Raw genomic sequence first — 22,496 nt, forward strand, 5'->3', positions numbered from 1 at the left:
TGAAGCCTCCAGAAGACCTTGAATCTGCAGGTTGAAATGAACCTGTAGATTTGATTTCCTAACAAAATCAAGTGACTAAAAAGAATTAGAAAAGAGCAAACTGGAAAAGGCCTCTCTGCTATGGATAGACTCCAAGCAGACCACTCATTCATTTTTGTCTTCTTGAAGTAGCAGAAATAAGGACTCAGAAGATAGATGGCCATCCTAGAGGAACTGCCCTCTTTCACCAAATTGTAATGCTTTTTAGGACAACGACAGAGAGGTGCTCAGGAAGAATCTGAGTCATGAACGTGTTCAATTTCCATCTGACTCCACTCTCTATTTCAGATTGAGGTTCTGCACGTCAGAGAAGCTCATGGGGAATTGGTTGCTTTTGCACACTTTTGTGGGAGCCCGGCCTCTCCCCTTTCTCTCCTCCTCTTCTGTCCTTCCACTCCTCTCCCCACCCTCTGAAGATCTTATTGATTTTCCACCTTATTTCATCTAGGGAAAATCTCTAGATGAAATAAGATAAGAGTGCTAAGAAGGAAAGATGGAATTATGTATATCCGGCGGACACAGATTTTCTCCATAACCCTTTGACTGCAGTTAATAAAATGATTGTTTCTTCTAATCTTAGGTAGGAGCCTTGAATCAATAGAAACAGTGTACAGAAACTAATGTGATCTCTTGGCATAAACCTTATCATACTCCAAGAAAATAGTGGAACCAGTGTACTATAGAAATTTGCACTTTTCAAAGAAAAACAAAACAGAAAACTTAGCTTATAATTCTTTTCAAGGAGCTCTTATTGAGGAATAAATTTTGATGGAATTGCTTCATTTCACGTTGTATAATCATCATACAGTTTTGTTTTCTTTTTGACAGAATCTTCCTCTGTTTCCCAGGCTGGTGTGCAGTGGTGTGATCCCAGCTCACTGCAGCCTCTGACCCCCTGGGCTCAAGCAATCCTCTCACCTCAGCCTCCAGAGTAGCTGGGACTATAGACGTGCACCACCACATTTGGCTGTTTTTGGTTTGTTTTTTAAATTTTTTGTAGAGACGAGGTCTCACTATATTGCCTAGTCTGGTCTCAAACTCCCTGGCTGAAGTGACCCTGCAACCTTAGCCTCCCAAAGTGCTGGGATTACAGATGCAAGTCACCACACCCAGTCCACAGAGATCTTATGTTATATGTAAATTCATGCAGAAACAGAAGTTGGTATAACAGCTAAATTTTGTTCAATACAAAATCAAATAGAGTTGGACATTGACTTATGAATTAGGGCGGTAAACTGAAATGGATAATTTAATTTCTAAAGTGGATTTTTATCCCAAAGCATCCGATTGGTCTTTACCCAGGTGAAACTGATCTCTCCCAGCTCTCCATTTTGGCTTCTGCCATGTAAACTGAAGGCCATAAACGAATGCTAGCTCTCTATTTTAGATTTTCACGGTATTCTCCAATGCCTCTCTTGTCTAAGCCTTCTGTAACCTGTGTTTCCAGCTGTTGCTGTGCCGCACTTCATCCTCTGACCATTAGGAAATCGGTACAGGCCATTTCTTCAGCTTGTTGCGGTGTTCCTCACACTGCAGTTTGAATACTGGTGTTACTGGTTAGCCTGGAATCAGGTTCAAGTGTTGTAACAGTCATGAAGACTCACGTCCTGGCTTGTTAGGTGGTGGGTAGTGGGGTTGCTTAAGACAGCACTTCAGTTCAAAGTGAAGGCAAGAGGGAGTGGAGATTGGAGACTGTAGATCACAGAAATGCCAGAGCTCCTCAACTTGCAGGCACACGAATAGTCGGCAGAACTCACCAATGTGTGTGCAGGGAAAATGCAGCCAGCAGAGCAATTGGGGGAAGCCATCCAACTAATAAGAGGCTTATAACTCTTTGGCAATTTGTTTAACTTGGGAGTTATTGCAAAGTCAGAAAGGTATTGGGCCCCCGGGAAACTGGCAACGTTGCTTGGTGTCTCCCACGGTTAAAAGCAAGCTTTGCCAATGGGATTTTTTTTTCCTTCAGGTGTTCAGTGTTGAGTTTTGCAGGCAAGGCCAAGCTTCTGGAAAAAGCAACATTAATCACATTGGCATGTTAGGTTAATGGGGCTGATGGCTGCCCAAACTCCTCTACTTAAACAGGAACTACTGAGATCTTCAAAGCTAGATGATCTGACTCACTCATTCATCTATCCATCCAACCAATGCTTACTGAGGTCCTGCCATGTGTCAGCAGTCACACCAAACATCAGAGGACAGACCCAGCTAAGGTCTCTCTTCCCTGTTCTCTCACCGCACATCCCAGCATTGCTACATTCTGTGTCCTGGTGGCCTTTGTTTAACTCTTGCCTCTGGAGTTCTGTTTTGAAAGTAAGGTAGGGGTAAAAGTCTCACAAGGGTCAAGGGGTTGAAAGTGTTTGTGGTTTATCTACTTATTCATTTAGAACATATTCATTCAGTACCTATTATAAGCAATGTGCCCCAGAAATAGGTGATTTGGGCAGAGTTTTTATAGAGGAACTTTTGCCTATCCATATTTCCTATAAGAAACCTTAAACTAAATTTCCTGGAACTTACAGGGATAACAATTGATTATTATGCAGCTACTGAAGTCCAGGAGAAACATGAATTTGTAAGATGCATACTTTAGAGGAAAGAAAACATTTCAGAAAACTCCCTCTTTCTGCCTATGGATCCAAGAGACTGGATGGAAGGAAATGACTCTGGCTTGGAAGGGGACCTCAGGAACCGAACACACATTCTCCAAACTCCCTATTCTTCCCTTTTCCACCATATCCAACCACTAGGGAGGTTCTAGGGATTCTACCCCATGACCTGGTTTTTTTTCATATATCCCTGCTTTCCTCTCCATTTTTTGACTCCTATTGCCTCAGTGCAGAAGTGTTTATTGCTCTTGCATATCTCTCATTACTATAACACGTAGGTCAAAGATTTCCTTATCTCTAGTCTTTTCCTGCTCCAAGCCATTTTCCAAAATGCTGCCAGATTTATCTGCTGTATTCTACTATTCCTGTCCTTCAAAACACTATTTTACAGGGCCTTTTGAGCGAGGCATTCATTTCCCAGCAGCACATCAAATAAACAAGCATGATTGTTAAGAGTGTGGACCCTGGGATCAGGAGCATCTTGTTAAAATCTCAGTTTGGCCCATGAAACCTCAGTTTGCTCATCTGAAAAATGGGGGTGATACCCATATCACAGGTGGCAGTGAAGGGTGAGGAAGGACATTTGAAATTCCTGGCACACTCAATAGGCACTCAGTAAGTAATATTAATAAAAATGTTAATTATTATTATTATATTCTATAGCTCCACTCTAATTCTGCTTACAATCTCCTAAAGTGTCTCTATCTTTCCGCTTTTGCTCAAGTAGTTTGCTCTGTGTAGAATGTTCTTCCTTTCTTCCTGTTATCTCTCTGCCCTTTGATAACCTCCAGTTGGGCATGTCCTGAAGCCTTCTTTGGTTCCTGTAGAAGACAAACATTTTCCTTCCTTTAATTAACTCCTTGCCTGCACCTCCTTTTGTACTCTATATTGGGCCTTGATTTGTACCCTGGGTTTCCCTAATTCTTCCTGTACCATATCCTAATTCTTCGTCAGGCTGTGGGCTTCTCAATGGCAGAGATTGCATATTAACTTGTCTTTTTTTTTTTTTTTTTTTTTTTTTGAGACGGAGTCTTGCTTTGTTGCCCAGGTTGGAGTGCAGTGGTGCGATCTTGGCTCACTGCAACCTCCGCCTCCTGGGTTCAAGCAGTTCTCCCTCCTCAGCCTCTCCAGTAGCTGGGATTACAGGTGCATGCCACCACACTCGGCTAATTTTTGTATTTTTAGTAGAGACAGGGTTTCACCATGTTGGTCAGGCTGGCCTCAAACTCCTGGCCTCAAAGTGATCTGTCTGACTCGGCTTCCTGAAGTGCTGGGATTAAAGTGTGACCCACTATGCCCGGCCATTAACTTGTCTTCTTCTACTAGCCCACAGAGTCTTGCAATAGAGTATTTTTTGAATTGATTTTTTCACTCATCAAAAGGGTGACATGAATCCTGGTGGCTTGGGAGGACTGGGTAGAAGAGCACCCCGTCCTTGGGGCTCTGCCTAGCAGCCTGGCTCTCTGAGCAGAGGCCAGTATCTGTAGCTATCCAATTCCACGAACCACCAGTCCCCTCCAAGACTGCCCAACTCTGAACATTCTGGTTTTCAGGATTTCTTGGATTTATCTGCACACTTACTGAATTTCAGAGCCGTAAGGCTGGGAGAGACATAGGAATTTTTCACTTTGGCCTCTTCATTCCTTAGATGAGAAAAACAGAGGCTGTACTGGGGTGTCACCTTCTTTGAGAAACATGCCCTAAAGCTCATCCAGGATGGAATGAATCATTCGGTTCCATTAGTGCATCTAGCACATTGTGTGTACTTCTGTTGAGGTATGGCTCACTCAGTTTTGCAGTTGTTTTTTTACACGACTGTCTCTAACAGTAAATTATAAGCTCTCTGCAGGCAAGGCTAGGGTTCATTTGTCTTTATGTCTCTGGTGCTCAAGAAAATGCCCAGGACACAGGAAATGCTCAATAAATATTGACTAAATGGAATGGACTCTAAGGAGGTTAAGTGACTGAGTTAGTGCTTTGCCTCTTCTGATTCCCAGGGCCATGATGTTTTCAAGATACCAGGCTGGTTTGCCTTATAAAATTTCTACAATCCTCATTCTAGAGGTCTAAGAAAATGCTAGTTGATATTTGATCATTAAAAGATTCAATGTTGGCTCTTGAAAGCATTAAAAAAATCTTTGTGCAGGAGAAATCACTTACCTCTGGCAGAAAAAAAAGATCAAGAAGAAAAGTGATTACATTGATTACATTGGTAGGTAGCAAAAGCCACATGAAACGTATACAGGTGTACCAACAGTTTTTCCTTGTTAAATATCAGCTCTGTGGTATGACAGAAGTGAGGGGAACCGGGTTCCTTTGCTGTGTCCTGAAGGTAGTGGTTAGAGTCACTTGCAGGGTTAATAAAGGCTGTTGAAATTGAGCTTCCGTTGGTGGTTAACCCTCTGCCTTCTTCAGGTTCCTGTGAGATACCTGACTGGCACTTCCCTTTCCAGATAAAAGACCTTGGGGGAAGTTGGTGAGGTAGTTACCAGGGGCTACTAGGTGCTACCAACCTGTTGAAGCTCAGTGATGTTGGATAGGGTGTGTACACTCTGGGACACACAGATGAGTTGAAAAAGAACAAAATTCACTGTAAGTGGGTCTTGCAGTCTTGTACACTTCAGAACTCAATTATGCACATGACTATGGCCTGCCCCTGCATATGAAATGCTGCAGATGTAACCAATGTAGGAATTCATGCCAATCAGGGTAAGGAACAGTAAATGAAGCAGATGGGAAGATGAGCTCAGGCTTCCAGGTGGTGTACTGCCTGTGTGAGTGAGCCACTGCATTTTTTCCTAGGTATTGACATTTCAGAAGTGGTTGACATCCTTGGTATCCAATGCTCCCTCCCAAACCCCATGGGCCAGGCCACTTTGGGGCCACGTAATTGCCAGAGGCCATCAAGTCATGGAAAAGAATTCTGTTTGCCTGTCTGCTCAAGTGTTGCCAAAGGACATTCTGAAAATTCTCAAATGCCTCAAATGGGACTAAATGACTTGTAGAAACCCCTGCCTGTCTTAGGGTACAATAGATTTGGAAGTGAGAAAGACCTAGATTTGCATAACTGCTCCTTTCTTTCCATATAAAGGACTGGGGAGAGATTAGTGAGTAGTTACCAGGGGGCTAACTGGGGAGAGAAACTCTCTGAAACTTTCCTGTCTCTAAGATAGGATCAGCAGTCACTGCGCAGTTATGAACAGTACTTTATATAATGTATTAGGGTTTTCCAGAGTAGCAGAAGCAACAGATGTGTTGTGTATCTGTGTGTGTGTGTGGTGTGTGTATTTACACACATATGTAAAGAGATTGATTTTGGGCTAGGTGCGGTGGCTCACACCTATAATCCCAGCACTTTGGGAGGCTGAGGTGGGTGAATCACGAGGTCAGGAGTTGGAGACCAGCCTAGCTAACACGGTAAAACCCCATCTCTACTAAAAACACAAAAAATTAGCTGGGTGTAGTGGCAGCAGCCCGTAATCCCAGCTACTCAGGAGAATCGCTTGAACCCAGGAGGCGGAGATTGCAGTGAGCCAAGATCATGCCACTGCACTCCAGCATGAGTGACAGAGTGAGACTCGGTCTCAAAAATAAATAAAAAAAAATAAAAATAAAAAGATTGATTTTAAGGAATTGGCTTATACAATTGTGGGTGTTGGCAAGTCTGAAACCTGCAGGGCAGGCCATCAGGCTGGAAGAGGACACTCAACTAAGGGTTTTCATGTTGCCCTCTGGAGGCAGAACTTCTTCTTTTGGGGGAAACTCAATATTTAGTCTTAAGACCTTCAAGTGATTGGACAAAGCCTGAGGACAACCTGCTTTACTCAAAGTCCACCGATGGAGATGTTCATCACATCTGAAAAACACCTTCACAGCAACAGCTAAGCTGGTATTTGACCAAACAACTAGGCATTATAGCCTAGCCAGGCTGACCCATAAAACGACGGTGACTTACACAGAGCGGACCCCAGAGAACTCTCACCCCCTCTGACTCTGTCCTTATCATGTTCTTCCCCTCTGCCCCTCCTGGGACCTCTCCTTTGGTCTCCCTCTCCGTCTCCTTATTCTAATATTTTAGGTTCATTCCCTGAGTTGTGTCACTTCTTTACTCTTCTGATTTTCTGCCCCTCTATCATGCATTTTCTTTCCAGCTGCCTCCTTCCCACCCCACTCCTCACTACACTAAGGTACCCTCTGCATCCTTTAGAAAACACCATCATAACCATTTTTCTGTTCTCGCTCAGTAGAAGATCAGGAGCTCAGTTCAATATGGAGAGATGTATGTTCAGCTCCATTCTTTGTTATCCTCTTATTTTATTGTTGGACGTGAATGAAAGTGATCACAATAATACAAACCAACTCCCTTTAGCTTCCCACCACCCTTCCTTCTCTGACCGGGAGCTCAGTGTTGTTCTGGGAACTCCAAGGACTTGTGTGCGGTTTCATGTTGGGAAGAGTCACCTCTTCAGGAGTGAATGAACTCTCCAGTCTCCTAGGGAGCCCCAACCCTGAGGAAGACCTTCAGCTGGCTGCTGTCCTGCATGGCCTGCCGTGGGGTGAGGACCAGGGTAGCTGTGCTGTGGGTAGATGACACTGCACACAGAGGCAGCCCACCTGCCCAAACCCATGGCATCCTTCATGGTCACGGGGTATCCGGTGCCTGCAGATCCTGTGTGTTCTCCAAAGAATGCAGCTACCAGGTACTCCATTTACTTTTACAAGGGATTTTCCTTTTAGAGATTCAAGTGCTCCTAATCTAATTGTACATTTAAGAAAACCTAATGCTAAAAGAATAAGGAAAGGCATCTTGAAGGCAGATCATGAGAGCAGTTGTCCCAGAGCCGGGTTTCACTAGAAAAGTCTCTGAGCCTAAGGAGGACATTTTCAGATGAGGAATCTGAGAATAACAAGCTCACAGTCAAACAGGGCACAGACTAATACTATGTCTCCTGATTTTTTCTTTCCCCCATAATCTCAGTCTTTCTCCAACTGAGAGACGGAACACTGAAGTGCCCTGTAGCCAGCTAAGAATTCCACTGGTAAGTCCCTGGTGCTCATTACCCTGGGCGCAGACATGCATGAAAACTCCAAGCCATTCTTTTAAGAGAGGGACTGTGTCATCTGGCTGCTTTTGAAGGACTCTATTTTCTATCCCCAGAAGCACCACTACTCCTCAGAATATTATCTTCTTAATGCCAGAGTTTCGAGGGCAAGGATATCCATCCATCTTATTAAATCAGAAATAGCCTCACCCAATTTTCTAGCACAGAATGGAACAGTCATCAGTTAAAAAAATAACTTTTAATAAGCTCCATTGTTAGGATCCTGTTTTCCCAGAACAGGGAAAACAGGATTTCATTTTTTTTTTGTAACCCTTCCTCTCTAGGCATTTCTGCATTGAAAATGTCAGGGCCATAGTAATTTTCTCCAGAGACTACATTTTCATTTTCTAACCTCTTCCTCTGTTCTTAGACCGCCATGCACAGCTATCAGCATCTGCTTGGGTTGCTAAGCTAATATTTTACCTGCAACCAATATCCCATCTCACTCTCCTTACTAAAAATAATTCCCTGAAAATCTAATAAAAATGATTGAAAAACCTCCAGCACATTATTTTTGGTCAAGTTCCTTCAGACCTTTTGCTTGATTTCACCTAGGCTCAAGTAAAAAATAGGTTGACAAGGTTATTTTTTAATCAAATCTATAAAATTTCTACCTGTGCAGTCCCGAATATTTGTTTCTCCAGGAACCCTAGATTTAATTTCGTTTTAAAGGACTACATAGGCTAATTTCTTTAAATTATAACTTTTTTTTGCTATAAACACCAAATTATGACTCTACCTGCCCTTCCCACTAAGATCATGAACTCAGTGTGCAGAGATTATGTTCAGTTCAATTTTTTTGTCGTACTCTTATTTCATTATTGGAAATGAATTAAAGTTATTTCAACAATACAGATCAGCTACACTGATGTTAGTCCCAAGGACATTGCTTACCAAGTACTAGGTAATAGGTGTCAAGATTTTATATCTGTTATTTACATTCTGTTTTTTTTTGAAATGGAGTCTCACTCTCTTGCCCAGGCTGGAGGGCAGTGGTGCAATCCTGGCTCACTGCAGCCTCTACCTCCCGGGTTCAAGCGATTCTTGTCCCTCAGCCTCCTGAGTAGCTGATACTACAGGCACACACCACCACGCCCGACTAATTTTTGTATTCTTAGTAGAGACGGGGTTTCACCATGTTGGCCAGGCTGGTCTCGAACTCCTGGCCTCAAGTGATCTGCCTGCCTTGGCCTCCCAAAGTGCTGGGATTACAGGAGTCAGCCACCACACCCTGCCAAAAAACGTATTCTTCACAGTGATTACCACACAACTCTAGTCTCTTTTCAACATGTTTGGTCCAAAGACACTGTTTTCTATGGATATTCCCTGGAGATCTCTTAGATGCCTACAGCTGTGGGAGAGGAAATTTGTTTAAATCAGTTCCTTTAGTGATGGAAGAATACGATCATATTGATCTAGCCTAACTCTGCCATTTCACAGGTAAGATGGAGTTTCATAGTGTGAATGCATAGAGCCATGTTACATTAACAGACATGTTTAAAACAGGAGAATATTTAGAAGGAGGCAATTCAACTGGTGAATGATTGAAAAATCTTGTCATAGAAGAAGTGGTTGAAGGAATTCAGCCTGGGAAAAAGAAAGACATGTGGATATCATTTTAAAATATTTACATGTGCTCATATTTTTAAAAAAAGATTAAATTTATTTGACGAAGCTGTGTAGAAAAAGGTGATCAAAGTTGTTAGAGGCTGTGCACGGTGGCTCACGCACCAGCACTTTAGGAGGCTGAGGCTGGTGGATTGTTTGAGCCCAGAAGTTCGAGACCAGCTTGGACAACACGGGGAAAACCCATGTTTACAAAAAGTACAGAAGTTAGCCGGGCATAGTGGTGTGCACGTGTAGTCCCAGCTACTTGGGAGACTGAGGCAGGAGGATTGCTCGAGCCCAGGAGCTTGAAGCTGCAGTGAGCTGTGATCATGCCCTGTGCTGCAGCCTGGGTGACAGAATGAGAGACCCTATCTCGAAAAAAAAAAAAAAAGTTGTAAGGAGACTGAATTCCTTTCACATCAGAAAGGAGGCGTTTTGAAGTTTAAAGGCAGTGAACTTTTTGGTTAGGTAATGCTTGCTAGAAATGTTTAAGAATGGCTTGTTCCAGAGTGGAATCTTAGGTCGGGTAAAGAATTGGGCTCTGAAGTCCCTTTAAATGTTACAATTCTATGATCCCAGTAGCGCCACAGGATAGATGGTATTTACTTTGGTCCACACACTAAGAAAGATTACAATGGTCATGATGCCCAAGGAGTCAGCTCATCAGGTCACCATGAAGGTAGCTCTGATTTGATTAATCCAATAGCTGATTTAAATGTGTCTGAAACTTGGGCTACAGATAGAGCACAGCTTTTATTTCCAATGACTCTGCATGTTAGTTTTGCTTACAGTATATACTCAGAAGTTTTTATGTGAATTATGTACAATTTAAATATGGAAAGGGTGGGAGAAATGTCTCATATTTATCTTGTATCCTTTTCTAGAACCAAGTAGTATTCTGGGCACAAAATAGATACCTAACAAGTGTTGGTCAATTTATACTTGTTGACTATTGATTATTGATTGATACTTATTGTTGGTTGGAACCTCAAAGACAGTGGCTAAGCACATAGGACTGTGGCACTAGCACATCCTAATGAGCTTGTTTATGTACCTGCCTCTCTGCTTTAAATGGATGCCTTTTCCCAGTTTAGTAGAGATCGTATTCTTATTTCTTCTAGCATCAGAAAGCTTCCTCCTTGCTCTCAGGCACATTGGGTTTTCACAGGCATTCTTAGTGTCCAACTCAGGAAAGATGCTCATTACAGTTCAGGAATGAATATGCATAAGAAGGACTTTATTGTCTCCTGGATCAAGTTTATTCAAGTCTATACTTCACATAGGGCTTGTGAGACTGTGAGAGGGGATGCTGGAGGAATGGGACTACAAATAAGTGTTTTTGGATCTCAGTCCCTGAAAGCAGGCTTCAGAGGGCAACTTTCTGATGCTGATGACTTCCTAGGATGGTAACACCTGTATTTTCACAGCAGAGAAAACATAGCAAACTCAAATTTGGTTAATGGGATACAATCAGGGCATCTTCAGCTTTCAAAACCAAGTATAACCCTGGAAACACAATTTTACTTGTCCTATTAATCATTCTCAATTCTCCTCTGGCTGCGGGCATCTCTAGTGCTGGGAAGTGAGACCATCTTGGCTGCTCTCTGCACAGCAATCGTTGCACCAAAAGGCAATGATTTTTAATTCTCCCTTAGCACAGTTTAGCACTGGCTGGTAGAAGCAGGCAGCCTTTTGCCGAGGGTGACGCTGTGCTGGTAGGCGGTGCAGCTGCTGCCCCCCTAAGGAACAGAGCAGGAGAGAGCTTAGCACAGGTCCGCAGCTATCCTGCTAAAGCTGTATATGAGGGGTGGTGGATCACCAAGGTCAGTTAAGATCTTTCTCTCTCTCTCTCGATCTGAGGTTTTACAAAAGATACATCTAACAATTGTGAAAAACTAAATAGCCTGAATGCACCTCAATACATCAGTTCTCAAAATACCTTGCAAAGGTATCTTTTATGATGCCTGTCATTATCATAATCACCACCCTTCTTATTTTTAAAATTCTTTTTTAAAATTTGACCACCATTATTATTAAGTGTTAATATAATGACAATAATATTAAGGAACTGTTGACAAGCACTGAAGCCACATTTAACTGGCCTCGTTTTGTTATAATTAAATGGATTCCCTAAGGGGCAATTGAGGAATAGCATGTCCCCGGATGATCTTGTCTGTCCCCAAAATAGGCATTTTGGTAAATTAATTTACAGAGTGGTTATTTGAGCCAAAATTTGAGACAGATCACTTGTTGGGCTGACTACATATTTGCTTTTGCTCCCAGTAGGGTTGATATTAGGTAGATGTAATGTAAAACTCAAGTTGGGGCTTCTTAATGTGGTAAAAATTACAGTGATTCAGCCTTTATGCTACTTTCAATTTGCCAGCCATATTTTATGGGCATACTAGTGGAATACACCCTGTTGGCTGTAGGTTAAAAGCATATTTTATTAATTAGAGCCCTATAATAAATAAATCACTAGTTTTTATCGCATGTGAGTCCACTCTTGATTCAGAAAGTTTGGCATCTGGCTCTGATTATGCCTCATGGGAAGGCTATGGAAGTTCCTCCAACCCTCCTTTCTTCACCTGTTTAGGGAGAATTACAGTGGAAATTTTACTTCTGCAGAGAAAAGTTAAGAAGAGGGATTGGTCATTGTAAACAGAGTTATACAAAATGACTACAGCAAGGTGGACAAATATGCGTGGCATCAGGATCCTGGGAGAATCTTTGATGCTTGCAAAATTTTGCTCTTTCTTTTTTCTCTTTCTATTTGGGGAAAAATGTCAAACTATAAGCCTCCTCAAATTCTTTGTGGAACAAAAAAGAGTATACATAAGTATATATATTATATAGAGAGAAAACTTGAAAAAATATTATTTTGGGGAGGTCTGATTATAGTAATAAGTTATATTTTATAGACTGACTTTATTTGTCCTGTGTTCAAATGCAAACTGATGATCAGCATATAATAGATTCTATTTGGCAGCTCCAGGGCAGGAGCTTGGATCTGTGACCTTTAGGCTCATTTGACCTCTGTGTGCTTCAGATTACCTGTCCACAAACTGCGGTGGGGGATGATCATGGGTTGTGGGAAATGGTTCTTTGTTTGAAGCTTGTGTCAGTGTGCTTGTGGATCTCAAGATGAAAAGATCTATTGTTATTTTGAAGACGGAGGACAGGCTATTTTCCTGACTAGGCTGGAGAAAGCCTTAGGAACTTGAGTCTCCTGATACACAAGAATACGCAATAGCAAGAGCCTAAGAAGCGTCTCCCCCACCCTTCCCTTATTTACTAACCGAACGTCTATTGAGCATTGCTAAATGCCAGCCTCTGTGCAACACTGCCATAACCTGGAGAGGCTCCTAGCCTGATTTATGCAGCCTCAAGATGGGAGGGGCAGAAACGTGACTTGTGGATGTGTGATGAGACTTCATCCGATCGTAATGCAACAAATGTTTTATCAGGCATTTTGCTAGGCACTGGAAGTTCAGAAATGACTAAGGGATCTCTATTCGAAGAGCTTAAGATTTGGTCAGGGGGACAAGAAGGACACCTAAGCCGAACACCAAGTGTGGTGACCTCTGAGACAGGAACACGAACCAAGCGCAATGGTCACTAAGTCCACAACCTCAAGGGGGCGCTCCCGAGTGCCCTTCCCCATTTCTTTAGTCCATCTACTCGCCCAGTCTCTTAAACCACTATCTTTTTTTTTTTTTCTTTTTTAACAGAGTCTTGCTCTATCGCCAGGCTGGAGTGCTGTGGCATGATCTCAGCTCACTGCAACCTCCACTCCCTGGTTCAAGCGATTCTCCTGCCTCAGCCTCCCGAGTATCTGGGATTACAGGCACGTGCCACCACACCCAGCTAACTTTTGTATTTTTAGTAGAGACGGGGTTTCACTTTGTTGGCCAGGATGGTTTCCATCTCCTGACCTCGTGATCCACCGGCCTCCGCCTCCCAAAGTGCTGGGAATACAGGCGTGAGCCACCGCGCCCGGCCTTAAACCTCTATTTTACAGTATCTCCTCTTTCACCCAACACGTTAGCTCTGGTGACCTCGGTCCCTAATCCGTTAAGAAAATAAAAACAATTCAAAAGGAACTTTCCAGTGTCTCCCCTGAAACTATTACCCTCCCAAAAGCACACTCTGTGTAGACAAAAGGCTCACCTGTTCCTCTTTCAGCCTGAGGTCAATCCCCACGGTGCACTAGGTCCCATTCCCTCTGATCTGCACACGAATGTCACTTCCGCACCTCTCTCCAGCACTGGCACGTTTCTCTCCCTTCTAATGGATGATGCCCATTATTACCAAACTTGCTGAAATAGCTCTTGTCTAAAAAATTCCTTCCATTGACCCCACTCCGCTTCCCTGCATTTCTTTGTAGCAAAACTCTTTGAAAGCATCTTTTACATTCACTGCCTTTACTTTCTACCATCTCATTTTTTTTCTTGAACTAATTCTATCAGGATTTGTCTCCACTACTCAACCAAGAAGTGCTTGGGTATACATCCAAAGGAAATGAAATCAGCATGCCGAAAAGTTATCTGTACTGTTATGTTTATTGCAGCATTATTCACAATAGTTAATATGGAATCAACCTAAGTGTCTATCTATGGATAAATGGATAAAGGAAATGTGATATATGAATACAATGAAATACTATTCAGCCATAAAAAAGAATGAAATCTTGTCATTTGCAACAATGTGGATGAACCTGGAGGACATTAAGTGAAATAAGGCAGGCACGGAAAGACAAATACCACATGATCTCACTCGTATGTGGAACTTAAAAAAGTAGATCTCTTAAAAGTGAAGAGGAAAATGACGCTTATCAGAAGCATGTTTGGTTAGTGGGGAGGGAATATAGGGAGATGTTGGTCAAAGGATATCTAATTACAGTTAGGTAGAAGGAATAAAATAATATGTCCAGAATAGGCCAATATCTAGAGAGAGGCAATAGATGAGTGATTGCCTGGGGCTGGGGGCTAGAGGGATGAGGATGGGTGGGTCAGTGGAGAGGAGTGAGAATGACTATCAATGGTTATGGATTCTCTTTTTAATGTGATGAAAATGTTCTAAAATTGACTGCGGTGGCAGTTGTACAACACTGAACATACGAGGAACCATTGGATTATATGCTTTAAGTGGATGAATGTTATGATATGTAAATTATATTACACTAACACTGTTTAAAAAATATAAATAAATAAAAAGACACACTGAAAAGAAAAACACAGCTTTTGCCACGGTTATTAAGGACCTTCATGCTGCTAAATTCAATGGTCAGTTCTTTGTTCTCTTCTGACTTAACAAACCTATCAGCCCATTTTACACAGTTGAACCTCTTCTTGAAACATTTGCTTCACATTGGTCTATGAGACCACCTTCAGTTTCTCTTTATTAACCCAACCCTTAAATATTGGAGTCTCCTGGGTCTCAGTCCTTTGATCTCTGTTTTAAGTATATTCACTCCCTGAGGGATTTCATTCAATCTTATGGCTTTAACTACCTGTAGAACCTGACAACTTCTCATATTTATAACTCTAAACTAGACCTCCCTTCTAAACTTCAGACTTCATATCTAACTGCCCAGTCCTTATGTCCACTAGGATGTCTAATAGATACCTCAAATATGTCATGCAAAAAAAATGGACTGATTCTCCTTTCTCCCACCTCAACCTGCTCCTCCCAGTCTTCTTTTCAGTCAATGATACCTTCATTCTCCATGTTAATCTAACAAAGAGGTTTGGAGTCATCCTTTACTCCTAATTTTTTAAAATGAATTAATTAGGTGCAGTGGCTCACACCTGCAATCTCAGCACTTCGGGAGGCCGAGGTGGGTGGATCACGAGGTCAGGAGATAGAGACTATCCTGGCTAACACGGTGAAACCCCGTCTCTACTAAAAATACAAAAAATTAGCCGGGCATGGCGGCCGGCGCCTGTAGTCCCAGCTACTCGGGAGGCTGAGGTAGGAGAATGGCGTGAACCCGGGAGACGGAGCTTGCAGTGAGCCGAGATCGCACCACTGCACTCCAGCCTGGGCGACAGAGCAAGACCCGTCTCAAAAAAGAAAAAAAAAATTAATTAATTAGGTCAGGCATTGCGGCTCATGCATATAATCCCAGCACTTTGGGAGGCCGAGGTGGGAGGGTCGCTTGAGCCTAGGAGTTTGAGACCAGCCTGGACAACATAATGAGACCCTGTCTCTATAAAAAATTAAAAAAAAAATGAGCTGGGCATGGTGGCACATGCCTGTAGTCCCAGCTGCTTGGGAGGCCAAGACGGGAGGATCACTTGAGCCCCAGAGGTGAAGGTTTCAGTGAGCCGAGATCACACCACTGCATTCCAGCCCAAGAGACAGAGCAAGACCCTGTCTCAAAAAAAAAATTAAAAAATTGATTAATTACTCTAAAAATTGGTGTATAATTAGATGTACATATTTTTAGGGTACATGTGGTAACTCGTTACATTCACATGTTTTATCATTTACTCTTTTATTTCACCCTACATCCACAGATGGTCCCTAGCTTACAATGATTTGACTTATAATTTTCTGACTTTATGGTGGTGCAAGACTGTGAATTTTGATATTTTCCCAGGCTAGTAATATGTGGTACAATAACCTGTCATGATCCTGAGCAGCAACAGTGAACCGCAGCTCCCAGTTAGCCACGTGATTACCAACAACTGACGGTGGATTGAGTTGCCAGATGATTTTGTAGGTGAACGTGTTCCATGTGAGTGTTCTGAGCACGTTTCAGGTGGGCTAAGCTATGCTATGATGCTCGCTATGTTAGGTGTCTTAAATGCATTTTTGACTTCCAATATTTTCAGCTTACCATGGGTTTATCTTGATAAAAGAAAAGCTTTAGCCATATTAAATTTAAAGGAGCTTAATTGAGAAACGAACGATTCATGAATCAGGCAGGCTCCCACGCCAGAGTAGCTCTGAGACTCCAGTGCAGCCACGTGGTGGAAGAAGATTTATGGACAGAGAAAGGAAAGTGACCAACAGAAAACGGAAGTGAGGTGCAGAAACAGCTGGATTGGTTACAGCTCTGCGTTTGCCTTATTTGAACATGGCTCGAACAGTTGGCTACATTTGATTGGCCAAAACTGAGCGATTGGCACAAGAGTAGGCTACAGTCTGTTTACACCTCCGCTTGCTATAGTTCATGATGTACAGAGAAACCTTTAGGCTGAACTTAAAATATGTAAGGAGGCAGCTTTAGGCTAAACTTGATTTGACAATCTGGACATAACCACCCTATAACAATCGAGGAGAACCTGTATTAGCAAAAATCTCTCAGCTTTATCTTTATCAGCACATCTGTAGTCTGACACTTTTCATCATCGCTACCCTTCTCTCTATTTAAGCCAACAACATTTCTGTAGCATTGAAGTAACTTCCTTCTTAACTGGCAACTGCATGTCCACTGCTGCCCCCTCTTCCAACTGTTCTGCATAGAGTAATTCTCTTACATAAATTTGATCATGTTACTCTTCTGCTCAAAGCACTCCAAAAAGCTCTCATTTCACTCCAAAAAAAAAAAAAAAAAAGCCAAAAGCCAAAGTCTGTTGTCTGTTCTGCAAGTCTCTCTCATATCTGCAGTCCCTCACCCCCATTTCCCTCCTCACCTCATCTCCTGCCATTCTCTCCCTTGTTCACTCCACTCTGTTCACTGCCCTCATGTCAAGTGAGTTCTCACCTCCAGAGAAAGATGCGCTGTTGCACGTAGTGTTTCCTCTGCCCTGAATGTTCTTTACCAGACATATTGCATGATTCACTCTGTCACTTGCTCCATGTTTCTGCTCAATCTCACAATTTTTTTTTTTTTTTTTTTTGAGATGGAGCTTCACTCTTGTTGCCCAGGCTGGAATGCAATGGCAAGATCTCGGCTCACTGCAACTTCCGCCTCGCGGGTTCACGAGATTCTCCTGCCTCAGCCTCTCAAGTAGCTGGGACTACAGGCATGCACCACCACACCCGGCTAATTTTGTATTTTTAGTACAGATGGGGTTTCTCCATGTTGGTCAGGCTGGTCTCGAACTCCTGACCTCAGGTGATCTGCCCGCCTTGGCCTCCCAAAGTGCTAGGATTACAGGCATGAGTCACTGTGCCTGGCTTCAATCTCACCTCTTAATGAAGTCTTCCCTGATCAGCCTAATTTAAGTCACAATGCTCCCATTCTACCTTGTCTCCTTTAGAGACTTAACTTTTCTCTATACCACTTAACTGGTCTCTGACAAATATTGGGAGCAAGTGAGGCAATCTGATTTAAATTCACAAGGTCACTGTGAAGTTATGTGTCAGGGATTGATGGCCCGATGGTGCTTGAGGAAGAGTGGAAAAGTGGAGGCTGAGGACACCTTAGGAGACTCACACAATTGTCCAGGATAATGTCCATTAAAAGCTTGACATAGAGCATAGTTTTAACTTTCTACGTCCAGCAAATGAATAGCTCTGCTGAAGGCTAACAGCTACATTCCCAGCCAAAACAGTTAGCTACTGGAGGTGTGGAAGCCCAGGCTGCAGTCAAGGGGCATTGGGCTAACCCACCACCCTGGCAGGCAAGCCTGGAATGGTGGGGCCAAGGTTAGGGGTGAGCTTGGTTCTTCTGGTTGGGTCTGAGATGGTGGTGTTGATGTGATCTCATTACAGGTGGGGTTTGGAAGGAAGGAGCATCTGCTTTGGCTTTTTCTTTTCTTTTTCTTTTTTTTTTTTTTTTTAACAGAGTCTCACTCTGTCACCCAGACTGGAGTACAGTGGTGCAATATGGGCTTATTGCAACTTCTGCCTCCTGGGTTCAAGCGATTCTTCTGCCTCAGCCTCCTGAGTAGCTGGGATTACAGGTGTGCGCCACCATGCCCATCTAATTTTTTTTTTTTTTGTATTTTTAGTAGAGACGGGGTTTCACCATGTCGGTTAGGCTGGTCTCGAACTCCTGACCTGATGATCCACGCACCTTGACCTCCCAAAGTGCTGGGATTACAGGTGTGAGCCACCAAGCCTGGCCTGCTCTGGCATATTTTAGAACAGGGGCAAGCACTGGATCCTGGGTTGGATGGGTCCATAGGCTGATTCAATATGATGTTTTGTACTTTCTTGTGAACTCTATGTTTCATTTCATGCTTCATGTTTCTAAATTATGAGTGAACCAGTTTACAGTTCTTTGGGCAATATCTGGTTAGTATCTCCCACTTCCATGGCAAATTGCCACATAACAATCGATCACTTGTCTGTCTTGATGAGTGACACTGATTACCACTGTAGAATTGACCTGTCGTGCTGCACGGATCCCCCAAATGGCTGAAATTGTTGGCCCAGATGGACACAGCCTCAGCCATTTCTAAAAATTCAGTTAGAGTTTCAAGTCTCTGAAAAAAAATTATATTTGATGCTTGCTACATTTCCACCAGGAAAATTAAATTTAATAAAAAGGAAAGCAACTGAAAAAATTAGAAAGTCATTCCACATGTCAATCCCAGTTCCTTCCTTCCTTCCTCCCTCCCTTCCTTCCTTCCTTTCTTCCCTCTTTCTCTCTCTCTCTTTCTCTGCAATGTCACCTAGGCTGGAGTGCAGTGGGATACTCATGTCTCACTGCAGCCTCTGACGTTCTGGGCTTAAGTGATCCTCCCACCTTAGCCTCCTGAGTAGCTGGGACTGCTAGCCACACCCAGCTAATTTTTGTATTTTTTCTAGAGACCAGGTCTCTTTTTGTTGCCCAGATTGGTCTTGGATTCTTAGACTCAAGTAATCCTCCTGCCTGGGCCTCCTAAAGTACTAGGATTATAGGCATGAGCCACCGTGCCCAGCTCCAATTTCTTTATAGGAAGTAAAACCTTCACCAGCAAAAAAAAAAAAAAAGAAAAAAATATAAGAAAAAGAAAAAAGTAAACATGATTTAGAGAGAATAGTTACGTTTTTCTCAGCGTGGTAAAACTGAAATTTGTGTCAACACATTTGAACCTAACTGTGTTTTTCTGTAGTAAAATGATGACTAAGTGGTGGATTTGAAATATTATCACCAGTTTAACATCTTTTTCTTGTTCTAACTTTTCTTGAAGTCAGTGCGAGACCGCCTTCCACTTTAACCTCACTTAGTCAAAGACCACCTCTCAGTTTTCCTTTTTTTTGTTTCCTCCTCTAACTTCTTGGTTTTGACAGTTTTCCCCCGCAGGAAAGGGGACTGAAAGGAAATTCAGTGGTTAAAGTGCTGGGTAGGTGGTGGATGTATTCTTACGGCTCTTAACTGCCTTTTCTTTCTTTGGATTAACTTGGCTTTAAAATTTTAATTTTAGCTTGGCTTAGAAAACTGGCCTTTCAATATCACATATTGTTTTCATTGTCTTCTGTCTGTTTTCTTTTTATTCAGACAAAATATCTCATTCATAGAGGAAATATTTAAAGTGAGATGACGTTTCTCCCAACCCCTTCCTTTTCTTATGCTTCTATCCTTCCTATATGTGCCTGAAATATTGGAAACAAAATGCAGTTCTGGGCCTGTGATGTGCCTTTCACTACGGCTGAATAAGGGAAAACCTACCTGATTGTTTCCTGCTGAGAAGGCTGCAGGGTTTCAGAGGAGGCGTCGGCTCTCAGGAAAATATTTCTCTTGAAAATATTCCATAAACATCCAGGAAGCACTCAAGCCCCAGCCAGCCTACACAGCGCCGTGGCCAAGTGCTGGGCTCGGAAGCCAGGAGGCTAGGTTTGAAGCATGGCTCTGTGACTCACCAGCAGTGTAACTTCAGGCCTGTTACTTGCCCTCTCTGTGTGCCTCAGCTTTCTAACCTGTAAAACGGCAGTAATAGTACCTACTAAATGACATTGCTGTGAAGGTTGAGTTAATACATGTGATGTCCCTATGCCAGACACACCTTGTGGGGAACATTCACAACTATCATTCCACTACGTTTCTGCCCCAGCATCGCACCTGTGGTCCTCCATGGCTTTGCTACTTCTTTCTAGTTCCAAATATAATTTCTCCTCTTTTTAATTCTTTCTTTTCTATTTTTTTTCTTTTTTTTTAGATAGGGTCTCGCTCTGTAGCCCAGGCTAGAGTGCAGTGGCACATCATAGCTCACTGCATTCTCAAATTCCTGGGCTCATCTTCCCACCTCAGTCTCTTGAGGCCAGGAACTCCTGGCCTCAAGCAATCCTCCTGCCTTGGCTTCCCAAAGTGCTGGGATTATAGGCGTGAGCCACTGTGCCTGGTTATTTCTCCTTTTCGCCTTCCTGCTGTTCTCCATCTGTGAGTCAGAATCCTCCTTTCCTTTTGGTGAATCCTTTTTTCCCTCTTCATTCTCTTAATGTGCTGTCTCATTCCTCTATTTCCTTATCCCTGAGAATGGCAGTCTGGATTACCACCGATTGTTATTTCCAGTTCTCTCTATGTATCATGTTCTGCCTGTTGGACCAGACTTTTTTTTCCCCAGCACCTGGTGCTGGCTCTGTTTCACCATGACTGCTCCACCCCAGGTGACATGTCCCGCTCTGAGTGGTGGCCTCTCCTGGGCTGCCCTGCCATGCGGTATGGAACTGAGCCATGATTGGTGGTATGTAAGACACAGTGTTACCCACTCCCTCTCCTGCCACTCCTTTCCATACAAAATTATTTATTCCTTCTCTGAATCTTTGGTTAATCACTTGGCAAATCCCTTTCCTTAGCACTTATTCTTGTATTAGTTATTTGCCAATCCTTTCTGCATAGATTATAAATTTCACGAGGGCGCAGACTTTGTCTTAAATTCAATGTTCCTCTAAATATCTCAAATATTGTGGATACCAGAAATTATATGACATATTTAAACCTTCCTTTCTGGGAATGCTTGACTTTGTGGGCCAGCATAATATCCTACTGCTTTTGTAATCAATCTGGAGCCCAAATATTCATTGTCGACTTTCAACGTGACCCCGAGAATCTGCCCATTGAATTTTGGTATGTATCAAAACTAAGGTTGTAATAATTCTCTACTGAAACTGTCACACTTTGAACTCCTCAATTTAACACTAAGCCAAAGATGGAAAAAAAAATAAAGGAGTGAAGCAGTGATGGTTCAAGTGTTGGGAAATTGGATTATTAAATAAAAGTGAAAGGAATTGGAATTGTTTACATAAAAAGAAAAGACTATTGAGAAGTAAGTTAGCTCCACTGAACTCAAAAAGTGTTGCAATATAGAGAACTTTGGACAAAAGCCACTATATTTATTGAAGACAAGTAGAGAAGTTTGCTTAAATTACAGAAGGAGGAATTAAAGTTAATTATAAAGCCACATATTAGCAGGAAGTGATGATAATAACTTGCATATGTTGCTGGTGGACTGGAAACAGCTTAGCTTCCTCAGATGGCATATGTACAATGTAGAGGCCCAGCTCTCTGAAATAGTTTAAGAGCAGTATTCCTCAAGGCAGCAGAAGAGAAAAAGTACATTTTGGATGTCCCTTTCCATCCCATTTTCTTTGATTTTGTTATAGCTTTCTTATAATTTATTCAATACTTGCAGACCAAAATATACTTGAGACCTATATCTATAAAAAGATACTTTATACCTACACATCTGGACTGACTCTTAGAGGCCTGGAGTATTCTTTTTTAATTTTTATTATTTTATTATTATTTTTTGGGACGGAGTCTTGCTCTGTCGCCCAGGCTGGAGTGCAGTGGCGCGATCTCGGCTCACTGCAAGCTCCGCCTCCCGGGTTCAAGCCATTCTCCTGCCTCAGCCTCCCGAGTAACTGGGACTACAGGCGCCCGCCACCACGCCCAGCTAATTTTTTGTATTTTTAGTAGAGATGGGGTTTCACCATGTTAGCCAGGATGGTCTCAATCTCCTGGCCTCGTGATCCGCCCATCTCAGCCTCCCAAAGTGCTGGGATTACAGGCGTGAGCCACCGTGCCCGGCCACCTGGAGTATTCTTGACAGTGCTCTCACTTCTGGAGGAACTGCTCAGCCACCAAAGGTGTACAAGTTGTTGGGTTTTATGTTTTAACACCTTACTGGTAACACTTACCTTACTAAGAATATTTATTCTAAGGAATAATTTCCAGAGTAATTTTAAAATAATTACTTCCTCTACTCCTAGACCTCTCCCCCTTTAAACCAACCAACCAGCCAAGCAACCAACCAACCAA

At 42.6% G+C, this 22,496-nt stretch overlaps 1 long non-coding RNA gene across 1 annotated transcript; it reads right to left on the bottom strand.

Annotated features, from left to right (window-relative positions):
• Positions 1-1,999: 1,999 nt before the first annotated feature.
• On the bottom strand, positions 2,000-20,049 carry LOC105376397 (uncharacterized). Its single transcript, XR_930638.2, has 2 exons — positions 19,908-20,049; positions 2,000-2,042 (listed from the first exon to the last, which is right to left on the bottom strand). It is a non-coding gene; the product is annotated as an uncharacterized LOC105376397 (long non-coding RNA).
• Positions 20,050-22,496: the final 2,447 nt, after the last annotated feature.

This window comes from Homo sapiens, chromosome 10, assembly GCF_000001405.40.
Source record: "Homo sapiens chromosome 10, GRCh38.p14 Primary Assembly".
In the NCBI taxonomy this organism is placed as follows: Eukaryota; Metazoa; Chordata; class Mammalia; order Primates; family Hominidae; genus Homo; species Homo sapiens.